Source organism: Homo sapiens, chromosome 6 (genome assembly GCF_000001405.40).
Source record: "Homo sapiens chromosome 6, GRCh38.p14 Primary Assembly".
NCBI classification, from domain to species: Eukaryota; Metazoa; Chordata; class Mammalia; order Primates; family Hominidae; genus Homo; species Homo sapiens.
In genome coordinates this window covers 133,838,337-133,859,892 of record NC_000006.12, presented here as the reverse complement: position 1 = coordinate 133,859,892, position 21,556 = coordinate 133,838,337, and the positions used below count along the sequence as shown (strand labels likewise).

Genomic DNA, 21,556 nt, shown 5'->3' with positions numbered 1-21,556 from the left:
AAAGAAAGAAAAGAAAAGAAAGAAGACATGCATCTGACCAACAAGCATATTTAAAAAAGCTCAATATCATTGATCATTGAAGTAATGCAAATCAAAACCACAATGAGATAACATCTCACAACAGTCAGAATGGCTATTATTAAAAAGTTAAAAAAAAAAAGAAACAGATACTGGCAAGGTTGCAAAAAAAAGGGAACCCTTACACACTGTTGGTGGGAGTGTAAATTAGTTCAACCATTGTGGAAAGCAGTATGGCGATTCTTCAAAGAGCTAAAAGCAGAACTACCATTTAACCCAGCAATCCCATTACTGGGTACATACCCAGAGGAATATAGAGCATTCTACCATAAAGACACATGCACGTGAATGTTCACTGCAGCACTGTTCACAGTAGCAAAGACATGGACTTAATCTAAATGCCCATCAATGACAGACTGAATAAAGAAAATGTGGTACATATGCATCATGGAATATTATACAGGCATAAAAAATAACAAGATCATGTCTTTTGCAGGAACATGGCTGGAGCTGGAGGTCATCATTCTTAGAAAACTAACACAGGAACAGAAAACCAAATACCACATATTCTCACTTATAGGTGTGAGCTAAATGATAAGAAATTATGAACGCAAAGAGGGAAACAACAGACATGGGGGTCTACTTGGGGGTAGAGGGTAGGAGGAGGGAGAGGAACAGAAAAGATAACTACTGGGTACTGAGCTTAATACCTGGGTAATGTAATAATATGTACAAGAAACCCATGTGACACGTGTTTATCTATGTAACAAACCTTTACATGTACCCCAAAACCTAAAATAAAAATTAAAAAAGTAAATAAAAATAAAATAAAATCTTATAACTAAATAGAAATGTTAATAATATCACAAAAACATATGATGAAGCACTAGACACAGTCTCACTGAAGTCAAAGACAAAAGATATATTATCTCTACTATTATTTATTATGGTTCTGGAAGTCTTAGCCAAGGCAAGTAAACAAGAGGAAGAAATTGAATTAGTAAACTGCGTAGGACAATTTATTATTGTTTTCAGATCATAAACCTGTATACCTGGATAACTGAAGAGAATCAATTAAAAGCTATGGAAAGGATAAGAATAATAAAACAATAAAACAAAGGAAACAATATTTAGAAAAAAACTCAAAAAGCAATGCTCAGGACCTAATAAAAAGAAGAATTTTTTTTGGAGCATTTGCTAGTGCCAAACATTGTTTAAGTGCTTTGAATGGAACTTTACATTATTTTAATTCATTTAATTCTTTTTTTTTTTTTTTTTTTTTTTTTTGAGACGGAGTCTCGCTCTGTCGCCCAGGCCGGACTGCGGACTGCAGTGGCGCAATCTCGGCTCACTGCAAGCTCCGCTTCCCGGGTTCACGCCATTCTCCTGCCTCAGCCTCCCGAGTAGCTGGGACTACAGGCGCCCGCCACCGCGCCCGGCTAATTTTTTGTATTTTTAGTAGAGACGGGGTTTCACCTTGTTAGCCAGGATGGTCTCGATCTCCTGACCTCATGATCCACCCGCCTCGGCCTCCCAAAGTGCTGGGATTACAGGCGTGAGCCACCGCGCCCGGCCAATTCATTTAATTCTTATTACCACTCCCTGAGGCAGGTGCTATCGTTATTTCTATTTTGTCTGTGAGAAAATGGAGGTACTAAGTGTTTATGCAGCTTACTCAAGGTCTCATAAACATGAGTCTATGCTCTTAATCAGTATAATATACTTCTTCCTGGACAATCTAAATCTCACTGATGAACATTTTTATAACTTGGGGAAAAAAACTTCTGCCATAAAACCATAGTTGCTCTTGGGTCAGAAGATTCAATATTTTGAAGACACCAATTCTCCCTAATTAATAAATCCAATGCAATCCCAAACATAATATATGTACATTTTTTAAAGCTAGGTACACTTGTTCTTATATTGCCAGAAACATTAAAGAAAAGAATAAGTAATAAAGTAATGAGGGAGGAATGATGTCATAAATTAACATATATATACTAATTTAAATAATTATGTGTTGACACCTGAGTAAACAGACACATTATTCAACCAATGTGAAGAGCCTAGAAACTCAAATATAAATAAAAATTTAATTTATGGGATAGCTGATATTTTAGATCAATGGAAAAATATATTCCATAAATTGTGTTAGGACAAATAAACTGTATCCTTACTTCACTGCTTGAACCCAAATAATTTCTAAATGGACTGAAGATTTAAAAGTAAAAAATTAAGACTATAAAAGTACTAGAAGAGAAGTGAGAAAAGTTTTATAAAGTGTAATTTTATCATGTGTGTGTGTATGCAGAGGAGGGAGCTTTCTTAGCAAATGTAAAACCTAAAAACCATGAAAGAATAGATTGATAAATGTCTTTACATATACATGTAAAAATAAACAAAATAGAAAGACACATTTCAAGTAGAAAAACATTTGGAAATATATGATAGAAAGACAGCTCATTTCCTTAATCTATCAAGAAATTTTCAAACCAATAAGAAAAAAGCCAACAACCTAAATTGCAACATGGATAAAGGAAAAATACTTCTATCGTATAATCATTTTGTATTTTAAAATTATATACATGTAAAACTTTTGAACAAAAAAGTAGAACATCATTATCCTGTGATAAACCGCCTCTCTATATATCTTCTCAGATCTTTTTTATGACTTTATTTTTTCACAAAAGATGAATTATATTTTATGATAATCCATTTTGTCATCTAACGTCATAAATATCTTTGGATGTCATAAAATTTTCTTCTATGACATAATTGATGACAAAACAATTTTTTATGTTGTATATATTTATTCCTAGTTTTTTATTACTGTGAATATTCTGTAAGTAAAATCTTTGTGTATATCCTTATTTTTTATCAAATAAATTCCCTGAAATAGAATTGCTAAAGTTAAAGGGTATATGCATTTTAAACTCTTTTACTAATACTTTTGGACATTCCTAGGTTGTTCTAATTTACATATTCTCAAACAGTATCTGGGAGTGGCTGTTTCGTTGAATTCTTGTCAATATTGGGTGTTATATATTAGGAAATTTTGACCAATTAGACCACTTGAAAGACAATCCTATTATTATTATAATATTACATAAATGATTACAATGGAGATTGAATTTTAATATATATGCATATTGGTTATTTTTTCTTTTGAGAATTTAGACATCTATTTAGAAGAAATTAATACTGTGCCTACTTGGCTAAAATAACTATCTGGCCTGATCATTTTGCTTTCCATAATCATTAAGTAGGTAGTCTTGCAATCAGTTTAACAACAGAGCCACAAATAGTATCTTGACTAAACTCTTAAATAGCTGCTTTTGTCAGGGAACCTATATATGCAGATTCACCAAGCAGCCATACAAGAAGGAAAGCCTGATGAATTAACACAAAATTTAGATGGTTCTCCAGTGTTCACGCAGACAGTAGAGTTTTTACAATTACTTCCTCTACTTTTTTTCTTATAATTTCTTTACATAATAAACCCGATAATTTAGAACTCTCCTTTCAACCGGATTGGTTTCATTTCCAACAGTCAAGGGAAGACACAAACAGCTCGGTGTTACATTGTCAATTAAACCAAGGTGGAGGAGGGGGAGGGTGGGCACAGTGATAAATGAGCAGTCATTTCAATGTTTTCTTTCCAGCAGAAATCAGAGCCAGATTACACTTTATCTCACCCTGACTTTTAGCAAGATAGATAGCCACGCAAAATTTTCAGGTTCAAATAGTCTCCATCAAAAGGGCTAAAACCCTCATCTTCTGGCCACATTGAACTTTCATCTTTCTAACTCAAGGGATCTGATTCCTTTTACTGAATAAGAAAGAATTTTATTCAATTTATTCTCCCAGTCTTAGGTCTTTAACCAAAATAAAAGCAAACAATTAAACAAATTAACCTCACTGCTTCATGCACGGCTTTTTAGATATTGTCCAAAAAGTACTGTTTCAGATCCTGAAAGCAAAGTGATTAGGTTTACTTGTTATCAACGGGGAGTTCTTGTTCAGAACTACGTATTTTAGGTATCTAAGCCTGCATATTCTGATAAGACAGCATTGGCCTTAAAGCTGAGGCAGCAATAAATTACATTAAAAGTAATAGACTTCTGGAAAAATAATTCCTTTTGATTGCATAGCAGTTAGAAATTTACCTATTTATGTTTGTGCGTAGATATTTAATACAAATGTCTCTGTTTTTAAAGGATTTTAATGTAGCACCTAATACACTAACAACAGAAATAAATAAAGTTCGGAAATACAGAACGAATGAATGTGGCAGTGGTTTGTTCTTTTCACGTTAGAGCTGTAGGAGCAAGGCTTGCAGGGTTTTGGAGCGGATCTACTGCAGAGTCGCTGAGACACCAAGGGTTGTCTGCTGTTAAGAACCAGTATATTTTAGTTACATTTCATATTAAGTGGAATTAAATTTCACGTTCAAATCACTTGTCAGCGCTTAAAAAAAAAAGACTTCTAAACGACCTCTCAGATATATGACCCGGATGCTGCCAGACCAAACGACTTTTATCCAGGTGGACCCTTCGGGGGTACTGGGTCACCTGCAGGGTAACCGGGCAGGATCTCAGATTTGGTGACCGTCCCAGAAGCTGGGGAGAAGGTGCCGCCAGAGAGTGAGCGGAAATCTCCCTTGGAGGCCTGGAGGCAGCAATACGAACCCCTCAAGCCGGGAGAGGGCACCCTGGCTGGCTGGGGCCGGCAGCGCTGCAGCCTCACGTCCGCAGGTGAAGATGCGCTCCCGCTGGGCATGCGCGCCCCCTGGGGCCAGGAGCAGGTGGGAGGTTCCTACCTTCCGCCCCAGCACCGCCTGAGGTCAGAGGGACTGTCCTTTCTTGCACTGCCCAATTTGTCAAGGTCCCGTATCGAATAAATAGCTGTCTCCCCAGACCTTTATACTGACTAATCCAAATAAATCGCAGTCACTTTTACTGTGCGTTTCAGCGGGCAGCCTGGCTTTAATGGCTCTGCCTCCTAGACCTCCGGGGGAGACTCGCCGCGGCTTCTGCGAGATCGTCAGCTCCCCTGGCTGGCCTCAGAGCCTCAGCCTCCCCTCTGGGTTTCGTGGGGTCACTGGGAGCGGTCGCAGCCCATCCCCTGCACGCTGGCACTATCTGCTGACTGGAGTTGCCCTCTGGGGTTCCCAGGGCTAAAAGCGAGGGTAAAGCCTCCCATCTTCAATGTGCGCCTGTCTAATGTGGGCTCTCCTCTGAGATCTTGTTTACTCCCTACCTTTCCACCCTCTTCCCCTGCTCCTCTAAACCTCAGAAATTCGAATTATCTTCCCCATTCCACTTAAACCCCTTCGGCCAATCAATCCGGATGTTACCGATTTCCTCTGGGATATTTAAAGCTTTGATCCGCAGGCTTACAGCTCCATCTTACGCACTCCCATCTTTCCCCTCTGGGATCCCTCTAGATGCCTGCTCAAAATACCTGCTGGCGCCAGAGGAAATTCACATGTAACAGATACCCAGCGGGTGTGAAACCAGCACTCTGCTTCCAGGGTCGTTTTCCTCCTCACCTTCCCCATCAAATTGTCGATTAGTGAGTGCTAACACTAGGCATTACTGTGAATCATGAGTGCGGGGCTGGAAGATATGGAACCGTTTTAATAGAGCCGATGATTGCTAACTTACACGTGGCATCGCGCACTCCACCCTCCCCTACTCGGGGCAACCCTGGGTGCCCGACGTCTGTAAAATTAATATGAGCCCCAGGATTGGTCCGCAGGTAGCTTTTGTAAAGGGGTCCAGAATGACTTCAAGCAAATTTCAAGATATCTAAAGTAAAAGATAATTATTCACTTGCTTCTAAAACTGTTACTGAAGTAGAAAAAAAATCAGAGGAAAGCAGTAAATCTCACTCATTTTATTTTGGTGAAAACAAACTACTAGGAAGATTTAACAGGTAACATCAATTTTGCAATGAATTTATTCCAGATACCTTTTATATTTCATATATAAGGTGAATTATCCATGAAAATAACCACTTTATATGAATGCAGATGGCCAGGATGTTGAAAAAAATGAAATTGGCTTCAGAGAGAAACAGTAAATATAAAGGGAGACACACTTTCCCTCCCTAAACATTTGCAAGAGTGTCAGGTAGGTTTTATTTGAGCAAATAACCTTATTGTAATATTTCTTTTCAAAAAAGCAAAAACTGGTAGTCCATTCATAAAACTTTTTTTTATTGTTGTCGTATTTTCTCATTCAATTTGTTATTTAATATCTGATCTTTTTCAAATTTTACACTTTACAAATCATTTGGCATACATGTGATTATCATCAAAACTGTTGAACTTTATAAAATACTGAAAAAAAGTATGTGTTGTGTTTATATTTCTAAACATTTGAATTTCTTGGGGAGATAGTGGATAATCCCCAGTGGTTTTATTTGAAAATCTCACCTGACAATTGTCTTTCAGAGGAGGTGTGGCTCTGGAGTTGTTTCTGCCTGGCTCTGTCTTTGTGCTGCTGACCAGAGCTCTAGGCTCTCAGTAGAAGCTCACAGAATTCCTTTTGATTGATGGCGAGGGGTGATGGCCTACGCAAAGGTCTCTACTTCCAACTTCCCTGTCTTCTATGGCGGCTCCAGATTAGCTCAGTGGGTGTGGGGTGGAATTTTCAGTCAAGATGCATGATGCCTCACGGTTTACTTTCTACTATAGCATCACTCTTATGGTTAAGAACTTCTGGAATGCTGTTGAGCAGTTTCCCCATTATCGATTTTGGAGATCTTGGCCTATGTTATTTAGAGATGGGTTTTAAACAGTGATAAAGTTAAGGTACAGATTTACACTGAGAGTTAGTAAGATCTTCCTTTGGAAAAAGATCTACCACATTTCAGAGGTTTGGAGCTGTTAGTTGAGCCAAGAATGACATATAATTTTTGTTACTTGAGGTCTTTCTTGTTTATCAAGTTTTCCAGTTTGCTTTTCTGCCAAACAGAAATGGCAGAAAACATCAGCATATGAAAATTTTAACTAGAAGACAATATTGTCTAGGTTCTGGGAAAGCTAGGATGATTTTAAGGAGAATACCAGGGAGAACATAAGAAATACTTTACAAATTACATTTAGATGTCAGTGTTATAATTGTTTCCTGAACCTTTTAGAGAACTTGAGGGAGGAACTAGGAGCAGGAGGGAGTTTCTTAGGATTATCCAATTAGATTTCTAAGTTTTCCATTATAGATTTTTTGTTTGTTTGAGACAGGGTCTTGCTCTGTCACCCAGACTAAAGTGCAGTGGTGCAATCACAGCTCACTGCAGCCTCAACCTCCTGGCCTCAAGGATTCTCCCACCTTAGCCTTCCCAGGAGCACACTATCACGGTTGGCTAATTTTTGTATTTTTAGAAAAGACAGGGTTTCACCATGTTGCCTAGGCTGGTCTTGAAGTCCTGGGCTCAAGCGATCCACCTGCCTCGACCTCCCAAAGTGCTGGGATTACAGGCACGAGCCAACAAGCCCGCATATGGAATGTATTTGATGGTTTAATTGTGCAAGGTCGGTTAAACTGATTGGATTTTCTCACTCCAGAGTTTGGTAGGTGGCAGAGCATAACACTGTTGTTTGAGATATTAACATCCTAAAAATAAGTCACTTTTTGATAACACCTAAGGTAAAATTATTAGCTTCAGGTTAATAAAGCATGAAAACAAAGTTTCATTTTGTTAAAGCTGAGGTAAGTTATTATAGCATTAGAACAGACAAAAAGGAACAGCAAATGAATGGGGAATAAAATATTAAGATCAAAACAATAATTTAATGCCAATTGTGATGATTGTATCACTTTTGATTATCTTCTTTTGAAAGTAAAATTTTAAAAAGTGTATTTTACTTTGTAACTGTCTCAGTATTTGTTTTTTAAGGGAGAGATTAAGAAAACCCTTAAAAACAGTTTTGAAATACAGGAATTACATTATCAAAAAAGTACAGCCAACAGTAGTTTTCTAGTGAATTTGAGTTGTGTAGGAAATTAAGTAGGTAATGGTGCCTCCAGATAACAAATCTAACCTCAGATAATTATTCAAGCCTCCTCTCCATGTTTTCACCAGAAACCTCTTGCTCACTGGCAGTCACTCCTATTCTCCTCTCCTGACCCCAGCCCTATACAACCACTAAACTATTTTGTCTTTGCAGATTTGCCTACTTTAGAATTTCATATAAATTGAATAATACAATTTGTGGTCCTTGATGGCTGGCTTCTTTCACTTAGCATATGTTTTTGAAGTTCATACATGTTGTAGCATGTATCAGTAATTTATCCTTTTTAATGGCTGAATAATATTCCATTGAATGGATGCACTGCATTTTGTTTATTCATGCATCAGTTGGTGGGCATTTCGGTTGTTTCCATTTTTTGACTATTATGAATAATGCTGCTGTGAACATTCATATCCAAGTTTTTGTGTTCTCCGCCTTGATTATGTAGATAGTGCCATGCATGGCTTGGTCTGTATGTCCATGTGAGATTATGAAAATTTGCTCTCTACCTTGAAAGAAATAGAATTCTAACCCAAGTTTTTCCTGTTCATTTACCAGGCTGAGAGTTGTTTTCTCTGATACATGCATGTGGTTTATCTCTAAGAAGTACCATCGGAATGAAGAGTTGTCTATTTATTTGAACCAGTTGGAAACAAGGGATCTAGAAAACAGAAAAATATTTGTTTTGTTTGCAGATAGGCAAATTAATATAATTAACCAAATTAAGTTACTTTCAAGTGTTAGGAACTAACTATGTTTGCTTATGGACTTTCCATCTGGTACAATTTGGATGATTATTTTTTGATTCTGCTAATCCCTAACTCTTGGATGCTTGCTATTGTAATTCCTATGCAGAAGGCTCCCGATTTACAATGGTTTAACTGAACAATTTTTCAATTTTACAATGGTGTGAAAGCAATATACATTCAGTAGAAACCACACTTTGAATTTCGAGTTTTGATCTTTTCCTGGCCTAGCAATGCACAGTAGGATACCCTCTTCTGACACTGGGCAGTGGCAGCAAACTGCAGCTCCCAGGCAGCCACGATCACAACAGTAAACAACAGATACTACACAGTGCACTGTAGTCAATAAATTACATGAGATATTTAACACTCTATTATAAAATCCGCTTTGCATTAGATAATTTTGCCCAACTGTAGGCTAATGTCAGGGTTCTGAGCACACTTAAGGTAGACTAGGCTAAATTATGCTATTTGGCATATTAGGTGTATTAAGTGCATTTTCAACTTATGATAGTTTCAGCTTACAATGGGTTCATCGGAAGGTAACTCCCATCTTAAGTCAAGGAGCATCTGTATTCCCATAGAATATGCATCTTACACTTTAGGTAGTGTTCTATTCCATTTGGTAAGCATAGCTTCTTTAACCTTTTTTTTGGTTTGATCCTATCAAGGAATATCTAATTTCTATGGCAGCAGGCTTATTTGTTTTTGTTTGTGTGTGTGTGTTTTTAGGAGGTTTAGCAGAATACTTCTGGTATTCTGTCTTGCAATGGTGACGAATCTGGCTCACCATGTATTTTAAAACAATTAATGTTTCCAAAGTAGAACTCCAGGGACATAACATGGTATGATATTGGATTGTATGAATGGCTGTTAACACTTATACATGTTCTCTGTAAAAAGGGGTTATACATTCATCCAACAGATATTTATTGATTTCCAACTATAGCTATTAAAATCTCTGCTTTAGGATATTATAAAAGTGTTATTTATTACACAGATTCACCTAGCACCTCTTAGACTATCTGAGACCTTTTGGAACTCAAAAATTACATGGAACATGATCTGTAGCACACAGCAGTTCACTATCTTTGAAATAACGAATGTAATTCCAACTGAATTAAGGTTTACATTGCGCAGAGTTAATTATAGAGCTAGTGGTTATTACTACATAGTTAATACACATTAATAATTGCAGATAATTCAGAAAACTTACTTTGGTAGGATCAGCAACACTTTTGCAAAAATCTCAACATATATCATTTGTTTTGTTTGTTTGTTTTTTGTATTTTTTTTGAGATGAGTCTCACTCTGTCGCCCAGGCTGGAGTGCAGTGGCGTAATCTCAGCTCACTGCAACCTCTGCCTCCCCGGTTCAAGCGATTCTCCTGCCTCAGCTTTCAGGGAGCTGGGACTACAGGCACATGCCACCACACCCAACTAATTTTTGTATTTTTTGTAGAGATGGGGTTTCGCCATGTTGGCCAGGCTGGTCTTGAACTCCTGACCTCAGGTGATCCGCCTGCCTCGGCCTCCCAAAGTGCTGGGATTACAGACGTGAGCCACTGCGCTTGGCCAAAAATCTCAACATATATAATGTTTCAAATAAAATAAAGTAGATCTCTTTCAATTAGCAAGAAAGAATCTTAGACAGATTCTAGTTATTCAGGCAGCTATGGCGTCAGGGTTAAAATAATAACCCCTGAAAAAGATGTCATTGACTCTTTTATAATCTCAGCAATCCAGATCCAGTATTTATATTTTGTTTGAAAGAGAACATGGGCTTTCCTGAACTGTGTAAGCTGTACAGTTAATGCAATAAGATTCAACAGGATTTTAGAGCTTTCCAATTCCCTTTCTCTCATGTGTGATCTTGATTAAATGCATCTATGTTCTAAGCCTTGATGCAAGCTTTATCCCTTACCTTGAAGTCTCTTTTTAAAAACTTGTATAGGCAAGAAGTGTGTTTTGGAATTGGGTACAGTTAGTTGTCTGAGTCAGAATTTTAAACATGGCAGCATGGTTCTTGCAGTATGGAGTTCAGGTGAGGATACTTCACTCAGTTGACATCTTAATGGCTAAAGCTTTTTACTGTTTTGTCCTGACTAGCACTTCAAAAGATACTCTACACAGCAAACATTCCCTTAAGTGTTGGAAAGCTTGGTTCCAAGTGTGCTTCTACATGGAACCAAGGATATTTGGGTGTTGAATACTGTAGGAAGGTTCTTTGGTGCAATGAAGAATGTCGGAACTATTTGACAATGTACTTGGGCACACCAGACATAGGATTCTTCATTGCACAATTATTCTCTAGCAATTTTCTTTGCAAGAAAAGAGACCTGACTTTCTTTCATGGATATAAATAAACTTAATATTTCTTATAGCTGTGCATATTTATCTTCTTAATGACACAAATTTATAACATAAATATGTTATTTACATATCCCAGGACAAGTAGCAATTTATAACATAAATATGTTATTTACACATCACAGGACAAGTAGCATCTTGACAAACTGTCCTCAGAATAGAATACAGTAACTAATAGAATACAGTAATTAATCTTTGTGTGTGTGTGTGTGTGTGTGTGTGAAAACAAACACTTCTTTAATAATGACTTTTGAAAAAAATGATGAAAAGTTATAAATGAACAGTCAGTGTTCAAAAGAGGTTTCTGTGATTTTTATAAATGCATAGCATCTTACAAACACTATAAATTAGTTGGTGGATATTTAATATGATAGAAACTATTCCATCTGAATTTTCTAGGGAGGTCAAAGTTACTTTGGTATTGTAACTCTTTTAAGCCAAATTAATTGGGTTATGTTTCCTTTTTTTTTCTTTTTCAACTTTTATTTTAGGTTCAGGGGATACATGTGCAGGTTTATTACATGGGCAAATTTCATGTTGCTAGGATTTGTTGTATAAATGATTTTGTCACCGAGATAGTGAGCACAGTACCCAAAAGGTAGTTTTTTGAACTTCTCCCTCCTCCCCCACTCCACCTTCAAGTAGGCCCCAATGTTTGTTGTTTCCCTCTTTGCACTCAATGTTTACCCCCCATTTATAAGTGAGAACATGTGGTATTTGGTTATTTGTTCCTGCATCATTAGTTCACTTAGGATAATGGCCTCCAGCTGTGTCTATGTTGCTGCAAAGGTCATTTAATTCTTTGTTATGGCTGCGTAGTATTCCATGGTATATATGTGCCACTTTTTCTTTAGCTAGTCCACCATTGATGGGCATCTAGATTGATTCCATGTCTTTGCTATTATGAATAATGCTGTGATGAACATACATGTGCATGTGTCTTTTTAAACTATAGGTATTTTGACATTAGTAGTATGCAAATCACTTTCTAAAACCATTGTATAGACTGTCTAATGGTTTCCAGTTAAAAGACACAAAGATAAGTGAATAAATAAGAGAATGAATGATGGAATAAATATACTATAAAATCCAGATGTCTGTTGTCTTTGCAGGAGGGAAGAAAAAATTTATCATGGACTTTTGAATCTAATTAGGAAATTTGCATTTTATCATCTTCTCTCTTGTTTCCTTGCACTATAAGAATACAAGTTACTATTATTACTACCTGGACAGTTAAACAGTTTGGGCTCTTTTACTATACAGGCATTAAGGCTCATGTTCTAGGGAAGAGGGAATGAATACTTGGAAGATGAGCACGTATCTCATTGGGAATTTAAAATGTTTTAGTTTAATTCTTTTGTAGATTCTGTGTTAATGGGTGGGGGCTGGATCTTGATGAAAATACAGAGGACAAAGCAACTGTCATAAACACTGATCTTCTCACTTTAGGAACCTGAGCTCTATTATTGTCTAAAAGCATGAGTGCCCAGTAAATGTCCAATGATTGCTTGAATAATTACTATGCGTTCAGATATACAACTCTGTGCTTTTGTGTGTGCACATGTGTGTGAAAAAAGGAGATATAAAAGAACTTGAACTTGCCACTCTGTAGTAACTAACAAAATTAGGTACATAGTGCTCAAAATAAAATTTCATATTTAGGATTGTTAGAAGAATAAACAGAAAGAAAATTATTAAATTGTTAATTTTGTAATAGGAGACAGAATAAACTCAGTTTTCACTATAGTACAGTATTCTTTTAGCAGCAATCCTTACAAAATATCAACTGAAAATCAATTACATAATTTTTCCTTCAAGGAAAGAGCTCATATCTTTGGTTTCTATTACTCCTGTGTTTTTATTGTCTTTGTATATTTAAAAGATGGGCTAGGACATCAATGGACAAGTCCTTGGAACATTAAAAACTATTATTCTAATTTCCTTCTTTTAAAAATATGCATATTTAATCTATTTTGGAACAATTTGGAAATTCAGGAAGCATAAAGTAACAGATAATTATAACCATGACTCAATTCTGATTAAATGTCATAATATGACTATCTTTCTTTTTTCAATGGTTGCCTCTTCAATATGCTAAGTAATGAACACCTTCTATACATTACACATACAACGGAAAGATTACAGGATCTCATTGTGCAAAATTGGTATAAATGAATGCCTCTTAAACTTCTGCTACTTTGCATGGATAAACAGAAATAATAACAAGTATAACAAATAGACCAACATTTCTTCTTTTATTTTGAAATTGAGGGAAATATGTCCAGCTGGTGGTAAGAGCTACACATTGTTTTATTTCAGAGGAAATGGAACTTTAAAGAGTTATCTGTGTTCCTTTGGGTTGTAAAACTTTCAAAATATGTACTAAAACAAGAAATAATAAATTATTGTTGTATACAGTTCTTTTTTCCTAGGAAAGAACAGTGGAAAGCTGAGAAATTATTCAGTTCAATTGAATCACTCTTATGAAATAAAAAATGCCGCCCTAAGAAACTGTGACTTTTATTTCAGATAACCCAAACCTGTCAGGGTGAACCCAATCTACACCATCACTTAAAGCTGACAGGAAAAAAATGTATACTATAACTTTTAGTTTAAAAAAATACCACTATGTATGTTTTTATAAATTATTCAGTCAGAATTAAAAAATTATGTATCATTCAATATTAACTGAACAATTCAGAATAGCAGGTTTTTGTAGTTAATATTTGTACAAGCTTCTAATAATTATTAAAATGGCCTTTATTTGTTTTTTCTTGCCACTGACCTATAGGATATACTAAAAGAAGACAGATCAGTCTCTCTCCTGATAAGAAGAGTCACCAAGAGGAACATCTGCAACAACTAGGTTGTGAGGAATTTCTTTTTTAAATGTACATAAAAATATGTTAATGTACACTGCCTTGGGTAGATGAGATGTGTTATTTCTTTAATAAGTTTGCAAACATTTACAGAAAAACAGTACTTGCTTCTTTATTTTTTGTAAAGAAAGGAATTAGTAAAAATGGAAGTTCCAGAAAATGCTAATTTCTTAGAATAAGATCTGTTTAAATTTTTCCAGTGCATAACAAAACACTTAAAACATTTTTTCAAACATTAAATTTAACATACTATGTTTTAGAAAATATGTGAAAGCAACCTGGATTTAGAGGGTTTAGATCAAGCCTTTGAAGTATCTTAAATCTCCTTGAGACCTAAAAGACTTGTTTATAACTAACAGTTGCTTTGTAAAAACAACATTATGAGATGTTTGAAAATTTTCTTGTTAAATTTTTATAAGAATATTTCGGTTGGGGAAGGAAGCATCTGTATTGCAAGATGATTTCTATTATTGATTTATTTAATCTCAGGAATGGAGAACAGGATGCCTTGCAGGGAAGTTTATCTGTGACTTGTAAACATGAAGCGACTAAAAATATGGAAAGTTCTATCATCTTTGGATGGGCCTAATAATTTCTCATTATGAGTATAAGACTAGTGATATGGCATCTTTAGTAGATTTTTGTGTGTCTTTTTTTTTGTAAGACTACTGGAACTTAATCCTGGTTCACCCAAGTTTGAGAGTACACTGTGAGACTATTGAACAGATCAAACCTACTAACATGTAATTTTCTCCCAAGTTTTGCTTTTAAAGTGATCAGAATTTATTTAAAACAGATTGACATAAGAAACTTATTTGGAAATAAAGTCTGCATTAGTATTTGGGACTATTGATAGGGAGAGAATTTTTTTCTAAGAAAAACATTTCACTGTCTTGTTGTATAATAGAAGAGAGTTTTTCACATTTGCTCTGTGCCTCACTCACTCTTGGCTATGTACTTTTGTAACATTGTCAGACTTTGCAAGAGAAGGCCAAGGAACAGAGGGAGATTCAACAAATATACCACATTCCAAAATGCCGAGTTCTTATTTCTCTACTATGAATTAGTCTGCTAGTCATTTATTTCACTAATTAAGTCCTCCAGGAAAATGTGAACTTAAATTTGTACAGCTGTTGAATCCTAAAGTAATAAAACAGTTAGGTTTTAATTAAGAGATTTAGTAGAGGGTTCAATATACTTTGCATGTTACTTATATTATTAATATATACTTTAGTATATATTAATACTAATATAAATATATTTAATAAACAAATATATTTAATATTAATACATTATCTAAATCTATTTAATGTATATTATATATTATCTAAATATATAAATATAGATGAATTGCACTTATTTTTTCTCTGTTCGATCACATACGCATTCTAGAATTTTCAGAATTGGTTGCAGTGACCCCCATCGTTTTCCTCCTATTTTCTCTAGATTCATTATTCAGACTATTAACTTATAGTCTCCAATACTTTGTCCTTACATCTCAATAATAAATGTATTTTGATCTATTTCTTTCTTTAGATTTTGAGGGCTTTATTATTACAGGGTAATAGTCCTAGATTTCTTAATATTTTGGGAATTCTATCGTGAAATTACTGAGTGATTTGGGGAAAGCTATTTTTTTGGGAAGAATTGCTTTGCATTTGGTGTTTAGTTCTGTGTTTTTAGTCCTAAACCCTATACTCATGACAAATTGGACATATTTGTGCTTATGTTGAAAAAACTGAATTGAGATTAATCTTTTTCTTTTTTTTTTTCTTTTTTAGACAATCTTGCTCTGTCACCCAGGCTGGAATGCAGTGGCACAATCTTGGCTCACTGCAACCTTTGCCTCCCTGGTTCAAGTGATTCTTCTGCCTCAGTCTGCTGAGGCAGAAGTAACTGGGATTATAGGTGTGCACCACCATGCCCGGCTAATTTTTTGTATTTTTAGTAGAGATAGGGTTTCACCATGTTGGCCAGGCTGGTCTTGAACTCCTGACCTCAAGGTGATCCATGTGCCTCAGCCTCCCAAAGTGTTGAGATTATAGGCGTAAGCCACTGTGCCCAGCCCGAATTGAAATTAATCTTATAAGAATTATATTTCTACTTCTCTAAAGAATCAGTGTTTATTGAGTAAATACATTCAGTAAAAAAGGCAGGCTACAAAAAATGCATTAGATATGATGTCATTTTTCTAAAAACAATATACACGTAGGAAAAGATTTAAAAGGATCTACATCAAGGTACTTGGTGGTTTTTAAGGAGATTTCCCTTGTATATCTGTATTCAGTAATTTTTCTACAGTGAATCTTAATTGATTTTATAAGTACAATAAATTTTAAAAATAATTCATGTTGTGGAATTGAGTATAGAAAGCTAGCCACACTGGATCTTGATAGATTGAGGTACACTTTATACTTTGTCAGCAGTTAAGTCAGAAGCCACATCCTCATCTGAGAGTTGAAACTGGGTGTGGGGAGGATGATCATAACTCAAGAATTGTTGAGTGCTCATCTTATAAAGAACTCTGGAGCTGCTGCTAGGGAAGTCTTCTCCTCCATCCTATGGATGAGGTCACTGAAGCCCTAGCTATGAGGTCATGAGTCCAGGTTCACATGGCTACATGGCTAAACCTGGTTTTAAGAAGTTCTTTTCTTAGAGGTCACAGATTTGTGAAACATTTGCTGCTACGTCAGGTCTGCAGGCCTATGAATATTTAAGAATTTGGGATTCGTGTCTGCATTTAACAATCAGGAGTATTCACATAAAAATCCAGATGTCTAAGTTATCTTGAGAAAAATCTTGAAAAGCCATACTTCATGTTCTTTTCCTAAGGTAACAGGTGGAATGGGACACAGATTGCCCATTTTATGAGGGGCACAAACTTTTGTTCTCCATTGACCTCACAAGAACCACCTGGCCCCGTAGGCCTTGGAATTAGCAACTTATGTATACTGGCCCCAAACAATGAAACAGTGGGAGCGTGATTCTTCATTGATAGTAATTAGGATCACCATTTCTCAGAATGTCTTATTCTCAGAATGCTTCTTTTCTTCCTATACTTCTATGTCATTTGGGAATCATTACTGAAGAATAAAAAAACTCATTACTGAGTTATTATTCAGTAATAATGAAGTTCTTATTATAGTGAGAGGGTAATTCCTAAACAATAGCTTGGAGCACTTAGTGTCAGACTAAGTTAGGAAACACAGCTTAAGAATGTGGATTTGTCAATCCTATGATACATGGATAGTCAGAAAAGAGAAAGCAGCAGAGGAGATGGCTCTGGTCCACTGGGCTTTCCTGAGACCAATCTGAGACAGCAGGAGGTAACACTGCCTTTTAAGTGTCTTTTTCCCTTGACTCATAAACCTTCCACTTATGTTCATTTATATAGTTATTGATACTTGATTTTTAACTCTCACAGCACCCCGAAGGAAAGCACATGTTTAATCCATAATGTGAAAAATGCATTGATAAGTCTTGACTTGAGTTCAAAGTCAAGAGGATGTCTTAGCTGTGATGTTATTTCTAGACTATCCCCTCTGAAAGCAAATTATCAAGATTTGTTAGAAATACCTATTCATCTTACTAACCCCTTTCCAAAATGGAAGCGGATTCTGAGATGGATGTTAGCATGACAATTAAGGGTAAATGGCAGGACATTTTACTCAAGAGGCAAAGAAAAGCCATATATGGTTTAAATGGGATGCCAAATAAAGTACTTACTTTTCCCATGCTTTATAATGCTGACACTTACATCTTGAAGACATCGTAAGTTTGGATTTGTTTGGAGGTTCCATTATACATTGTCATACATGCAAAAAATTTTATACATGCTGTAGTTAGAGATTCCAAAGTACTTTTGGTTATTTGATACTTTTCTAGAATAACTCTCATATCTTGGCTCTGAATGACCAAATGCCTTGCTTACTGTACATTCATCTTTATAGTTGCATTATTGAGCTTGACCAGTTTTATTTGAAGGAAAATATTAATCTAAGCAGAAGCATTCAGAACATGTGTGTAAATCATTTCTCCCAGTACACATTTGTTTTGTTAACTTTAGTTCTCAGTGTCTCACCAAGCTGCCTCTAGCACCATTTTCTTGTTAATCTAAATAGAGAAGTCTTCTTCAGTCTTGCATGACTGTTTACGTAGGCTGTTGATCAATTTTGTTTGATTTTTAAAAGTTGTTATTAAACCTAAAGAGAATACTTAATACTTAAAGCATACCACTTTTAACATCTTCTTCCTGGTTTTATTCCTAATTTAATAATTAGGACATGAGAAACCGACTCCTAAATAGTTTTTGGCTTAAAATCACACACGGTTTTTTTTTTTTTTTTTTTAACACAATGCTTAGCTATGGCTTTTGGCCAGCGTTTATTCCTTGCATGTCATTTGTGAATGCCTTCAAATAAAAAATGTGCAGAGTTGAATTTATATTTTTGGCCTCAGAGCCAGCATAAAAGCTGTTTCCATTTTAATTTTAAGCTAGTTCTGTAAAGAGATATAATGCTACTTAAATTTTAAACACATCAAGGATCTCATACAGTTAGTATGTGTTATGTTATCACATCTGGTCATTCTTGGCATTAGGATTATTCCTAATGTTTTGCAATGTTCACTACTTGGGCATCCAAAATCTCAATAACAAACCAAGACCCTAAAGGGTCCCTATTAGAGAGCTATTATCAAGAGTAAAGAATAGTATTGAAATACACTTTCGTCTTTAAGACCAGTTTTTAAAGTTTTGGGTTCATGGGTTTCTCTGAGAATCTAATGAAAGCTGTATAGCCTTCTCCAGAAAAATGCACACACAATGGAAAAATCTGAATATTCAGAAAAGCTCTCATCATGTCTCTAAGTTTATAGGTCACAGGTTAGAAAGCCCTGTGACAAACTAATATAGATATATGTTCATAGATTTGTATGTATGCACTGTATATGCTATAGGATATACATGTATTTAATTTTTTAAAAACTTCCTTTAAAATCTCCTCAAGTAGTTGAAAGCTCGAAAATCTTGGTTGCTTCTATCTAAGGATTCTTTACTTCTGTAGAAGGCAGGTAGAGGTACTGAGTTTTAGGAATCAATATATTAATAAAATAAGAGCGTGTCTAAAACAAGCAACTGACCTAAAGGTAGGTTATATAACTGCAGCTGTATGACACCATCATACCCTCATCCCTTCAACAGTTTTTGACTTCTAATGTTCATGACATGCCAGTTTTCCAGGTATGCTTATAAAAACAGATATTACATTCATTGTCTTTAGTCACATTCAGATCAACATGTTTCTAATTTTATTTTTGATGTCTTCTTTGGACACAGGAGAAATTGAGAAGTTTGTTGCAGAATTCCAAAGTTCCTAGAAATGTCTTATTAGATTTTTTTTATAATTTTCAAGTATTTTGGGTTTTTATATATTTCTTTTTGTTTGTGTTTTCTGTTTTCTTTCTGCTATTGTCAGAAAACATACTGTGCATGATTTCAATCCTGTGGAACTGATTGTAATTTGGTTTTTATATAGCCCATTTAGTTGAATGTTTTAGATGCACTTAGAAAGACTATTCTGCCACTGTTGGTTATAGTGTTCTGCATACGTCAATTAGATCAAGTTGGTTGATATATCTTTACTGATTTTTGTCTCTTTTGTCAATTACTGAAACTGGAGTGTTAAAATCTCCAAATTTAATTGTTGTACTCGGTTGAGTGGTGTTCCTCCAAAATCTATGTCTACCCAGACTTGTGCATGTAACCTTATTTAAAAATAAAATCTTTGCAGGTATAATCAGGTTAAGGTGAAGTGGAGCTGGATTAGGGTGGGCCATAATTCAATGGTTGGTGTCCTTACACACCTAGAGATCTGGACACAGAAGTAGAAGGAAGAAGGCTATGTAAAGAAGGAGGCGTAGATTGAAGTTATGGTCAAGGAATGGCAAGGACTGACAGCAAACACCAGTAGCTTGAAGAAGGAAGGAAGGATCCTTCCCTAGGGCCTTTAAGAGAGCACGTCCCTCTGATACCTTGATTTCAGACTTCTGGTCTCTGTAACGGTAAGCCAATAAATTTCTGATGTTTTAGGCACCACCCCCGCCCCCCCCAAAAAATAAAAGGTGTTAGGATGCAATGATAATTATTTTGACAGATTTCTCTGGAAAGCTTTAAATTTTTTAAAAAGCAAAAATACTCCATCACTATCCTGATAACAATCAACATGTAGTCAGATGCTTTAGCTAGCATAGTCTTACTAATATTTGTATCAATGAGCAGGGTTATAGTATTAACATTTTCAACATGGTAGCAAATATTTGTCCCCTGCACTTCTAATTATAAGGTCAAATTCAAATAAAAGTAAGAACACAAAAATGAGAACCCTCATCCAAATTTCGACGTACATTATTATTTATCAATCATCAATAGACTCTGTGCCAAGCACTGGGCTGGGTGCTGTACCTTTTGAGGATGCAAACGTAGAGTAAAAGCAGCCCTGTCCTCACGGTGCTCTGGACACTGTGCGGGGGAAGACATACAACCAGCGACATCGTAATATGGGCCATCAGTACTCTAATAACGCTGACAGGAGTGATGCTTCGGAAATACTTTTCAGTTCGTGTTTCCTTATTGGCTAGCTACGCTTTCTCTCCCCGTTCCTTGCCGATCTTAAACAATCCAAGAAAGGGGCAGACCAAAGCTACTTAGGAGACAAGAGCGGTCTTGGTGAGATTGCAGCAAGAAGGGCAAGGTTGGTGGGCGTGGTGGTGGGTGCCTGTAATCCCAGCTACTCTGGAGGCTGATGCAGGAGAATCGCTTGAACCCGGGAATCGGAGGTTGCAGTGAGCCAAGATGGCGCCACTGCACTCCAGCCTGGGCGACAGAGCGAGACTCCGTCTGAAAAACAAAAACAAAAACAAAAGCAAAAACAAAACAAAAAGGTCGGACGCGGTGGCTTACGCCTGTAATCCCAGCACTTTGGGAGGTTGAGGCAGGTGGATCACCTGAGGTCAGGAGTTCGAGACCAGCCTGACCAACCTGGTGAAACCCCGTCCATACTAAAAATACAAAAATTAGGCGGGCATGGTGGCGCATGCCTGTAATTCAAGCTACTAGGGAGGCTGAGGCAGGAGAATAGCTTGAACCCAGAAGGCGGAGGATGCAGTGAGCCGATATCGCGCCACTGAACTTCAGCCTGGGCAACAAGAGCGAAATCCTGTCTCAAAACAAAACAAAACAAAACCTGCACTAGAATAAGTGCTAGTTCTTTTTTTCTTTAAAGACGGACAAGATGAAATGTTTTAATTCTCATTTTACCTAATAATAAAGGATGTACCGTTAAAATCAAGTAGGAATTTATCCTTGTCTTATTGTCATTTTTTAAAAATTTTGCTATTCTGCACAGGACCAGTTTCTCTAGAATGTTCCCTTGCTGACTTTTCCTCTGGTAGTATCAGTTACACTGAAAATCAGTTGTATTCTTTTGCTTTATTTCACTGGGCACCATCAAACTAACAAAAGAGGAGAGT

General features: G+C 36.1%; 2 long non-coding RNA genes across 2 annotated transcripts in view, besides 1 other annotated feature; one reads left to right on the top strand and one right to left on the bottom strand.

The window, feature by feature from the left end:
• The window catches only part of TARID (TCF21 antisense RNA inducing promoter demethylation), a 386,755-nt gene that overhangs the window by 29,114 nt on the left and 336,085 nt on the right, over window positions 1–21,556 (top strand). The window contains exon 2 of the long non-coding RNA NR_109982.1: window positions 13,942–14,016. This is a non-coding gene — a long non-coding RNA (TCF21 antisense RNA inducing promoter demethylation). The remainder of the gene's footprint in view (window positions 1–13,941; window positions 14,017–21,556) is intronic.
• Window positions 4,981–5,719: an enhancer, noted in NCBI's record as "NANOG-H3K4me1 hESC enhancer chr6:134175312-134176050 (GRCh37/hg19 assembly coordinates)". NCBI's record gives its function as "activates a minimal SCP1, AML or CMV promoter by ChIP-STARR-seq in naive H9 embryonic stem cells {active_cell/tissue: H9 hESC(naive)}" and the evidence as "EXISTENCE:reporter gene assay evidence [ECO:0000049][PMID:30033119]".
• The window catches only part of LINC01312 (long intergenic non-protein coding RNA 1312), a 32,846-nt gene continuing 17,190 nt past the window's right edge, over window positions 5,901–21,556 (bottom strand). The window contains exon 3 of the long non-coding RNA NR_027030.1: window positions 5,901–8,696. This is a non-coding gene — a long non-coding RNA (long intergenic non-protein coding RNA 1312). The remainder of the gene's footprint in view (window positions 8,697–21,556) is intronic.